The 10,561-nt window shown below is 44.3% G+C and overlaps 3 annotated features.

Annotated features, from left to right (window-relative positions):
* Window positions 2,438-2,607: an enhancer, noted in NCBI's record as "experimental_109428 CRE fragment used in MPRA reporter constructs". NCBI's record gives its function as "activates a minimal promoter by MPRAs in K562 erythroleukemia cells, with activity observed for both the introgressed and non-introgressed 9:94254943 or rs72741296 variant alleles {active_cell/tissue: K562}" and the evidence as "EXISTENCE:reporter gene assay evidence [ECO:0000049][PMID:34662402]".
* Window position 2,522: a transcriptional cis regulatory region, noted in NCBI's record as "Neanderthal adaptively introgressed variant 9:94254943 (GRCh37/hg19 assembly coordinates) or rs72741296 in the experimental_109428 CRE". NCBI's record gives its function as "modulates activity of the experimental_109428 enhancer by MPRAs in K562 erythroleukemia cells {active_cell/tissue: K562}" and the evidence as "EXISTENCE:reporter gene assay evidence [ECO:0000049][PMID:34662402]".
* Window positions 5,008-6,207: an enhancer, noted in NCBI's record as "BRD4-independent group 4 enhancer chr9:94251258-94252457 (GRCh37/hg19 assembly coordinates)". NCBI's record gives its function as "activates an origin of replication core promoter dependent on BRD2, P300/CBP, MED14 and CDK7 cofactors, and independent of BRD4, by STARR-seq in HCT116 cells {active_cell/tissue: HCT116}" and the evidence as "EXISTENCE:reporter gene assay evidence [ECO:0000049][PMID:35650434]".

Raw genomic sequence — 10,561 nt, 5'->3', positions numbered from 1 at the left:
AACACCATCGGGCAAAAATGCCTGCCCCTGATACTCTGAAATTGACCGAGAATGACAGGGAACTCAGAGAGAATGAGGAGGACCTTACAAAATTAAAATGTGAGCTCCTCAACATCACTAATCATCAGGGAAATGCAAATCAAAACCACAGTGAGATATTATCTCACCCCAGTCAGAATGGCTATTATTAAAAAGACAAAAAACAACAGATACTGGCAACAATTCAGAGAAAAAGGAACTCTTATACTCTGTTGGTGGGAATGTAAATTAGTATAGCTACGATGGAAAACAACATGGATGTTTCGCAAAAAAGTAAAAATAGAACTACTGTATCATCCAGCAATCCCACTACTGGGTATTTATCCAAAGGAAAAGAAATCAGTATATTAAAGGGATACCTACACTCACATGTTTATCACAGCACTATTGACAATAGCCAAGATACGGAATCAACCTAAGTGTGCATCATTGGATGAATGGATAAAGAAAATGTGGTATACATACATGGTGGAATATTATTCAGCCATAAAAAAGAATGAAGTCCTGTCATTTACAGAAACATGAATGGAACTAGAGGCCATTATGTTAAGAGGAATAAGCCAGGCTCGGAAATACAAATACTCCATGGTCTCACTCATGTGGGAGCTAACAAAGTTGATTTCATGGAGATGGAGAATAAAATGATAGATATCAGAAATGGAAAAGTCAAAAGGAGAGGGATAAAAAGAGGTTGGTTATGGGTACAAACATACAGTTAGAAAAAATAAGCTATCCTTTGATAGCTGATAGGGTTTCACTGTGTCCCCACCCAAATCTCATCTTGAATTGTGGTTCCCATAATTCCCACGTGTCATGAGAGGGACCTGGTGGGAGGTAATTGAATCATGGGGACAGGTCTTTCCCGTGCTGTTCTCGCAATAGTGAATAAACCTCATGAAATCTGATGGTTTTATAAAGGGGAGTTCCCTGGCACATGCTCTCTTGCCTGCCGCTATGTAAGACGTGACTTTGCTTCTCATTCGCCTTCCCCCATGATTGTGAGGCCTCCCCAGCCATGTGGAACTGTGAGTCCATTAAACCTCTTTCCTTTATAAATTACCCAGTCTTGGGTATGTCTTTATTAGCAGCATGAGAACAGACTAATACAATAGCAGACTAGGAAAGTATACTTAAGCAACAATATTGTGTACATTTTAAAGTTACTAGAAGAGAGGACTTGAATGCTCTAAAAATGCTCCCAACACACAAAAATGATAAACACTCAAAGTGATGGGCACCCAAAATACCCTGACTTCATCCTTGTGCATATTCTATGCATGTAACCAACTCACGTGTGCCCCATAAATATGTAAATTATTATCTATCATTTAAAGGGAAAAAATTGTGAGCCCTCGAACGCAGTAACTGGTCAGGAAGATAATGTTATGAGCTCTAAATCAAGACATGTCTCCTTAGCATATTAGCATATTGGACTTATGCAGCTCTCTGAAAAAGTAATTTTTGGTTATGGCTGGGAGGAGGCCTGTAAAAAACAGTATAAAAAGGAAATCAGGTGTTGTATATCCTGAAGTTTTGGCTTTCTCTAAGACCTCACCTTTCATTGCAGGCTCTTCTCATTCCGTGAGTGACCTCACCCAAGACTTGAACTTCCACAGGTGTGCTGATGACCAAAACCTCCATCCCCAGCCTGGCTTCTCTTCTGAGCTCCAGATGCAAACTGCTAGCTGCGTATGGGGCATCTCCTTAGGGGCCTTCCATGGGTACCTCACAGTGACACATCCAAATGCAACTTCTCTGCCTGCCTAATACCTCCATCCCTTAGTGTATTCAAGAAGAGGTAGGTTTGTCACTCACCTGGTTGGCTGCTCTGTGACATGAGCTTGTCCCCTGTGGCTCTGGGTCAACCCTGGTTTGCTGGTGTATTCCTGCAGGTCACCACTGAGATCTGCTGAGAACAGTACCAGCTGTTCCCTTAGCACAGGCCCTGGGGTGGCTGTGGGGGCCGCCAGTCTCCCATCACATGCTCCAAACACCACATGGAGGCTGATCAAGGGATGGGACCCTCCGATGGGGAAGGAAGGAGAGTAATTAAATAGAATTACAGCATGCTTGGTGGAAGCATTTAAAACTGAGTGCTAAAATGACTATCCTGAGACTCTAGGAGAAAAGCATTAAAAACAAACAAACAAACAAAAAAAACCTCCTCCCTGAAGATGCCTTGTGGGCAATCGCCCAGAGCTGCAACAGTGTGAATCTCCAGCCTGCCAGGAAGCCCACTCAGATTGCTTTCACCCATACCCAGCACCCCCTCCAGCACCTGTGGCTCCAGCCATTCTCAGTTACTTGTGCCTCCAAATATCTCTGCCTGTTTCACCCTCCTTGCCTTCACATTGCTATTTTTCCTGGATTTCCTTCATCTTTCAGCTACTCCATCTGCTTATTCTAAATCCCTCTAGTACCTGTCTCAAGCATCACTGTCCCTGAGCCCTCGCCTGAGTTAGAGGCACATTATGTTAGAGCAGGTGCCACACCCTCACCTCCCTGGAACCCCGCCCATCTCCTCTTCTCACTTGATTCCTCCCACTCAGGGGCTTTGTGTTTGCAGCGCCTGGCCCAGCACTTGGCACATAGCATTTCACAAATATTTGGGGGAAGAATGACAGCTGTAAAGAACAGTATGCTTGTGTTCAAGACCCAGGATTAATGCCCCACTTTGCTATTTCAAATGTGTAGTTTTGCTGAGGTAGTGTAATTTCCCTGATTTCCCTGAGTCCTCTTGTCTGTAAAATGGAAGATGATCCCTTTCTTCTTCTAGTGAGGATCAGCATCACAAGGGGAGTGTGCACATAAACCCAGAAGTTTCACCCAAATGTAAGCTTTTTTTGGGGAAAAAAAAGGAGCTAAGAAGAAGAATAGCTGAAGCTCACCTAGCTCATACTCTGTGCCAGGCACCATTTAATTGATCCTTGCAATTATCTCATAAAGGAAGCTAAGTCATTTGCCAAAGAGCATAGAGGTAGGACATAGTGGAGAGAGGATTTGAACCCAGGCAAGTCACTCACTTGTAAATACTTTCACCAGGCAAATCTTTGGCTTCAGAATGTATAGGCTTAAAAGCCCGCTGACGACTGTAATACCAAAAGCTAACGCTGACTGCACGTTGCCTATATGCTGAGCTCCGTGATAACCATTCTACAGTGACATCGACCTATGCTGTCCACAGCCCTACTGTATCGGCGTCCTTGGTCCCATGAATCCGATGAGAAAATGGAGACAGAGCCATGGGCACTCGACCAGGCTGCAGGGCTAGTGTTCAGGCCTGACCCACACTTCAGAGCTGGGGCTGTCCAGCACCGTGCAGGGTTCAGTGAAGATGACCTTGAGGCAGCAGCTCCTGGGCTGTGCAGGACCAGGAGGGAAGCCCAGTCGAGGCTCATGGACAACCTTGCTTGGACACAGCTTTGTCTCAAAACTGGAAGTGTTGAATGATCTTCAAGTCTCTGTAGGAAAAAGAGGTTCCAAAACAAGGAACTAAGGCCGAGGACCACTGGGAATTGGGGCGGGCTAGCAAGTCCCTCTTGTGTTTAGAGTAGGAGACTTGACCCAGCAGGGAGAGCCTGAAAAGGCCTCGCTGAGGCTCTGAAAGCAAAGGTCTAGTGAACTCATCTTAGAGAAGGCTGCTAGTGTTGCGGAGGTCTCCTGCCTGTAAAAAGTTTGTAGTCCAGATTTTTCCCATGTTGTGATAACATTCTAATGTGTTAGGTTTGAGGTTTCTTCATGAATAGATTCAGGATACGCAATTTTGGTGGGAAGCAAGAGAAGTGCAAAAAGCTATGTTTTTCTCAGCACATCATATCAGGAAGTACGTGAAGTCCACCATCTCTGATGCCAGCTGTGATCCGCTGGTTAAGGTGAGGCCTGCCAGCCTGCACCAGTGTAAAGTGACTATTTTTCCCTTCGTAATCCATCAGTATTCCGCGAGGAGCTGCACTGAGATCATGAAAACATCCTATTCCTCCTCACCAGCTAGTTCTGTCTTCCGCTGACAGCTGTCTGAGTCAATATAACTATGACTGTTACCAAAAGGTGATTTTCTCATTAATTCATTCTTTAGGATGAAAACTTATGGACATTTTATGAAGTGGATAGCTTGTATGCCTCAAAAATACCAATCTCATTAAAACTGAGGAACTGCTCCACATCAAAAGAGACTAAGGAGCTATGACAACTAAATGCAATGTATGGATCCCAGACAAGAATTTATTTTTCTTTTGCTCTTAAAGACATTACGGGAGCTGCATGCCATGGCTCACGCCTTTAATCCCAGCACTTTGGGAGGCCGAGGCAGGTGGATCACCTGAGATCAGGAGTTCAAGACCAGTCTGGCCAACATGGTGAAACCCTGTCTCTACTGAAAATACAAAAAGTTAGCCGGGTGTGGTGGTGGGCACCTTTAATCCCAGCTACTTGGGAGGCTGAGGCAGGAGAATCACTTGAACCTGGGAGGCGGAGGCTGCAGTGAGCCAAGATAGCGCCACTGCACTCCAGCCTGGGTGACAGAGCGAGACTCTGTCTAAAAAAAAAAATAAAATAAAATAAAATAAAAGACATTACTGGGACAATTGGTGAAATCTGAACAAGTCCTGGAGATTAGATAATATTATTTGAATGTGGATTTTCTGATGTTGATACTTGTATTATGTAAAGAATGTCCTTGTTTTTTGGGAATTACATATTGAACTGTTTAGGAGCAGAGGAGGTTTTGGCTGCCACTTTCTTTCAAAAGGTTCAGAAAACTAGTATGTATGTATAGAGAATGATAAGACAAACATGGTAAAATGCTAACATCTGAGGAATCTGAGTGAAGGGTCTATGGGGGTTGTTTGTAATATTCTTGCAACTCTTGTACATCTGAAATGATTTCAAAATGAGCGAACGTTTTTAAATGTGCTATGAGTTTGAACTGAATATGTGTACTTGGCTCTTTCTGCCAATGAATGGTTGGACTCCCCACTCCTACAGGGAAGGGACTGGGGCTGTCTTGTCTCTGGGAGCATTCTGAGGTGGGTAGACAATCTACTCTGTTCCCCTCTGACAGATGCAGATCCACAGAGAGATGTAGTCAGAAGTATCTTGGTCTATCATGCTGTTGTGGAGGGGAAACACTTAAGTCAAATCAAAGCTCATCTTTTAGAACACTGACCGATACTGGCCCATCGCTTTTGTCTGTAAGTTCCAGCTTTAGGGTATGACGCTGCCACTGTCACAGGCTCCTGAAATAGATGATGCCAGAGCACGGAGCTTCCATAGGACAGAAGGCTTTACATGGCAGCAACAATAAAGCCCTTTAGCCACTGAGCCCTGCAATGAAGGGCAAGAACAGCAAGTCATGAGTCTTCACCACCACATGAATAAGCTGCCAACCCACAGTGCCACGGAAACACAGGCTCTGAGCCCACATGCCCACAGTGCAGATAATGACCTCAGCCTTCAAAGGGGAGAAAGAAGCGCCCCCTAAAACAGTCCTTTAAAACCCTCCTTCGTCATTTGTGACAGCACAATTTGCTGTTTCATTTCAGTCTCTTATGAAGACGCCTTCTGAATCAGTGCTCTATTTTGAGCACAAAGTCAGGATGTCTGTGGCTTCAGCCAAAGAGGCTCACATGGAAGACCTGCTGAGCTAGTTGCTGATTCAAGCCTGGACCATTCCTGAAGTTCTTCTGGGTGAGTGGGAAAGGGTCACCCATAATAGCTTTTTCTTGGCCTTCCTATTCCTTTCCCACCCTGTCCACTTAGCATCCCTCTAGAGAAAATAGGAAACTGAATAGATGCCAAGAAAATGGACACACTCCACATGCATTAATAACTTCACTATATTAATAGCTTGCCAAAGTCAACTATCTCCCTAGGGGATCTTAGTTTCTCCTCTTGTGTCTATTTTTTGTGTGTTTGTTCTTTCTTTTCCCTGGCCTTCTTATAGAAATAGCATGTAAGGTAACCAGTTGTAGCCTTTGTAATGATATTCATACCTAATGACAGCAGGGCTGGCCCCACAGATGCCTCTCAGTCACTGAGTTCCCATAACGAGGGCACTTTACACATGCCATCTACCATCCCATCTAACCCTCAAGACAGACTTACATTTTACATCCCAACTTTGCTGATGAGAAACTAAAAGCTTAAAGAGGTTGAATCACATGCCCAAAGATGCATGGCTAGTACAGGTGAGATTCAGACTCAGTCTATTTGTCTTGGTGCGAGAGCCTTAGCATTTCCACTCTGAAGATGACCAGCTTCTTCATTTGCCTGTTGAGGGCCCAGTGTTCTTTTACCAAATCGGCTTTGGTGCCTGGAGTGCATGAGGACTCATGACCCTTAGCTCACTTTCCACCTGTAGTTGCCCTTTTATTTCATTGCTACAAGTCTCCTCTGTAACCCTGTTCAGCAAGAAAGTGAATATATTCAGGCTTTTGCTCAGATTGTCATTCAGATTCCTCCACGATGTGTGAGCAGGGGTTCCTCAAAATGCAAAGCTGGGCAGTGCTGCCATCTTCTGCCCCGGCTAGTGAGGGGAGCCCCAGTAGCTAATCCTGTGTGTCCAGCCCTCCTACAGTTTGTAATCCATCATTTGGCTTTTTGTGAGTTATGTGACATCTGGGCCTGAGAAAGAAGATGTTCTCACCTCCCAGGGGACCTGAGAGTCTGTCCTGTTTCCCTGGATACAATCACCTCTTTGTTTGGCTCCTCAGGCAACAGCATCCCTAGAATGATGCTTCCAACAAGTGCCTGGGATGCTCCTCTCCTGGACATGGCTGAGTTGCACCCATCGCCCGCCGTGGCACCCACTGGAAGCTTGCACAGTAGTGGCTTCTCACAGATGCAGCGGCACTTCTCCATTGAAGGGCCCAGGGAGCCTGACTCACACGCGGGACCTGAGTCTGACGTGTGTCCTAACTTTCCTCTAGAGGCTTCCAGTGGGGTTGAGCCACTACTGCCCACAGCGATAACGTCTGTAAAGCACCCTGTGCATCGACTTCCTTCTCTTCTCTGTTTCACATCCACGCCCCTCCCAGTGCTTCCCAGCATCAGTGCCTAAAACATCCCTTGCACTCAGATCTTAATCTCAGTGTCTGCTTCTGGGAAAACCAGCCTCAGGCACCCCCGGACTCTTCTTGTACATCCCTAGTGCAGTGGTCCGCTGCTTAGCCCTCCGTGCAATGGTGCTGACAGTGGTGAGGGCAGACAGCCCAGAGTTCCACACTTAGACTTTTCCATTCCAGGAAGCTGCTGTTCCAGCCAGAAGGCACCCTCAGGAGTTCCTGGCGGGTACAGGAGGGCAGGGCTCAGGGTGGGGAGCCACTCCAGAAATGTGAGAGAATTTTCTGTTCCAATGGCGTATAGGGAAAGATACAACATTCTCAATCCAATTCCGAGTGCCATTAAGCTCAGAAACAAAAAATATTTCTATGCAAAAGAAAGGAATGTTTTGTCTTTTGCAGATTCACAGTGTTTCAAAAGAGTAAGATGTTTCTTCTTCTCCTTCCACCTTAAAACCCTCTTTTCTACCCTAAGTTGCACGCTCCATTAAGTTATCTAATGGTTTCCAGGAAGTAATGGAAACCCAGAGTCATGCACCCCACTTCTGCTAGCAGTCATTCGGGGCCCCACTGTGATCCCGTCCTCAGGGCACCAGGTCATGGAGTAGGTGAGGGTGTGTCTCGGCATCCAGGCACACACTCATTTCCTCCCTCACTCTAATTGGCTCAGGGGTGGACATGTGACACCTTGAGACCCAATGAAGTATCTCCTGGGACTTCTGGGAAACAGCCCTTTGCTTCTCCTCACTGGTTTACAGTAAAAGGATAAGGGCTGGGGCCTTGGCAGCCATTTTGCTCCCCTGAGAGAAGGGCCTGAAGTTAGAGCCCACAGGAAGAGGCAGAGCTGAGAGGGAAAAAAACACCAAGTCTTGTGACACTGAGCAGTGGAATCTGCCTGTCCTCCTCTGGACATTTCAGTAGTTTAGTCATTCAGTTCCCTTTCTTGCTTCATCTGGTGTTGAGTTTTTCTGTCACTTATTGCAAAGAGTCCTAATTGATGTGAACAGAAGGGAGAGGTTTCCTTTTTTTCTCTCTCTCTGATCCAAAATGACTGGTAAGTTTTCTTCATTCTCCTTTGCACCATGACCCAAGTTTCTTTCTCCTGTCCTCTGTGACCCAGAGTGGCCCTAAGAGGCAGGGCACGTGGCTGCTGGAGGCCCCTCAGCGTGCGTGAGTATCTTAACATTTCTCCTTGAAATCCTCTGTAGAAATGTAACTGACTCCGCCAAAGAGGGATGACCAAACTCATAAGGAGTGTAAGGAATTTGCACTTGAGATGCCCAAGAGTCTGATTCTGACATGCTAAGGTTTTATCCCAAAAGTTAAGATTTCATTAACAAATCTTTATGCAAAAGCGCTTGGAGAAATTTGGCTTTAAATTCAAGTGCAAAGCGTAATCCTTTTAATAAGCTGGGACCAATGTTTTGAAAGGGAGAAAAAAATTTTCAGTGGTAATTCAAATATGTAAAATAAACTATTTATCTACTAGTTCTTCTGAAAGGCTTATAAACATGGTAACTGTAGTAGAGAGTTTCTCATATTACTTCATTTTTAAAAAATCCTTTAGTTTCTCTCCAACTTATTAAATACTCAACATACAGAAAACTTGCAAAAAATAATCAAGTGGACGTCTACATATCCTTACCTAGATTTACCAATTGTTACTGTTTTGCCATATTTGTATTATATATACATATATGTGATTTTTTTTTTGAGGAAGCATCTGAGAGTTAATTACAAGCATCATGACACTGAACCCTTGAATGCTTTAGCATTTCTCTCCTATTAAATGAGATAATTATATAATTATCACACTCAGGAAATTAACATTGATAGAATACTAATTATTATTATTTTTTTACACAGGTATCACTCTGTCATCCAGACTGGAGTGCAGTGGTGAGATCATGGCTTATGTAGCCTTGAACTCCTGGACTCTCAACACAGCCTCCCAAGTAGCTGGAATTACAGGCACATGCCACCACACCCAGCTAATTTTTGTATTTTTTGTAGAGATGGGGTTTCACCATGTTGCCCAGGCTGGTTTCAAACTCCTGGGCTCAAACAATCCCACTTTGACCTCCCAAAGTGCTGGGATTACAGGTATACGCCACCATGCCCAGCTCACAATACTATTGTCTACGTCTTTGGTCCATATTCAAATTTTTTTCTTTGTCCTAAGAATATCTTTCACAGTTGACTTTTTTCTTTTGACACAAGATCCACCCAAGTATCATGCATCACATTTACTAATATTTTACTTTTGAACATTATGCTACAGCCTTTTTTCTAGTTCTTAATGAACTATCTTGGGTTATTATGAAACTGATAATTGTTCCATGAGTTGCTTATTTTCTATCAGTTTCTATTAGTTCTACTGATTAATTATTGAGAGAAGTACCTAAAGAATTACCTAAAGCCCACAAGGGTTTGGGCATTTGTGTAATTTTTTAAACCTAAGAGAACCTGTTGATTTTATACTTACAAGCAAAACCCATCCTGTTGCATTATACATTATCACAGGAAAAAAAGTAATCAAAGGAGGTTGGTGGCAGATGTATGATGATATTGATAATGTAGTGATGGGGATGATGAAGCTGAGGAGAAGGAAGGAGTATGGTGATTTTAAGTCAGGTTGACTGAATTAAAGTTTTGCCTGAAGATGTATATCTGTGTGCTCTTTTGTATTATGAGTGTTTTGCCAAAGGTAGCTGCTTCACATACCTCCTGGAGCTATAACCGCTTCCTTCAAGATCACTGCCTTGACCCCATTATCACCAAACCTACACCACATCCCAAAACTACAGTGCCATGCCTCCCACTCACGGACTGCCATATGCCACGTCTTTACTTGAGAATGGCGCTGTCCCGCAGAATGTTCTACAAGGATGGAATGTTCCAGACATGCACCATCCAGTACATGTGGCCACTGAGGGGTATGACTAAAGTACTGAAATTTTAATTTTATGTAACTTTAAATACTTTAAATAGCCACAGATGGCTGGTGGCAACCATATGAAAGAGTGTGGCTCTAGGTCATGGCTGCAAAACTGCTTTTCCCCTCAGAGCCCCCAGTTCAGATTCGCTGGCCAGCACCTCTCACAGCCCATACACTGTTTAGAGTTCACCAGTAGGTTATGGTTACCTCAGAGAAGAATTCAGAAGTGGTCATCTTGTTTAAAATTCACAAATCATCCCTCTTCCAGCCCAGCCCATGCAGAACTCCCCGTTTGCCTCCCTGATTGATTTTCTCCATGCATTTACCATGGCTTGGCATGCTGTGTATCTAACTTATTTAATTGTTTACTGTCCATCTATGTCCACTGTGATGTAGCCTCTCTGAGAGGAGTTTCCTCTGTCTTGTTTCCAGCTGCATCAGTAAACACTTGGGAGTGAAGCAGGCGCTGTAGACCATCGCCCGGGAATGCCTACGTCTCACCAGCACCACGTGCCTTACATATCAC

The sequence above is a fragment of the Homo sapiens genome, chromosome 9 (assembly GCF_000001405.40).
Source record: "Homo sapiens chromosome 9, GRCh38.p14 Primary Assembly".
Taxonomy (NCBI): domain Eukaryota; kingdom Metazoa; phylum Chordata; class Mammalia; order Primates; family Hominidae; genus Homo; species Homo sapiens.
The sequence above is the reverse complement of the archived record's forward strand: the minus strand, read 5'-3'. Positions and strand labels throughout refer to the sequence as shown.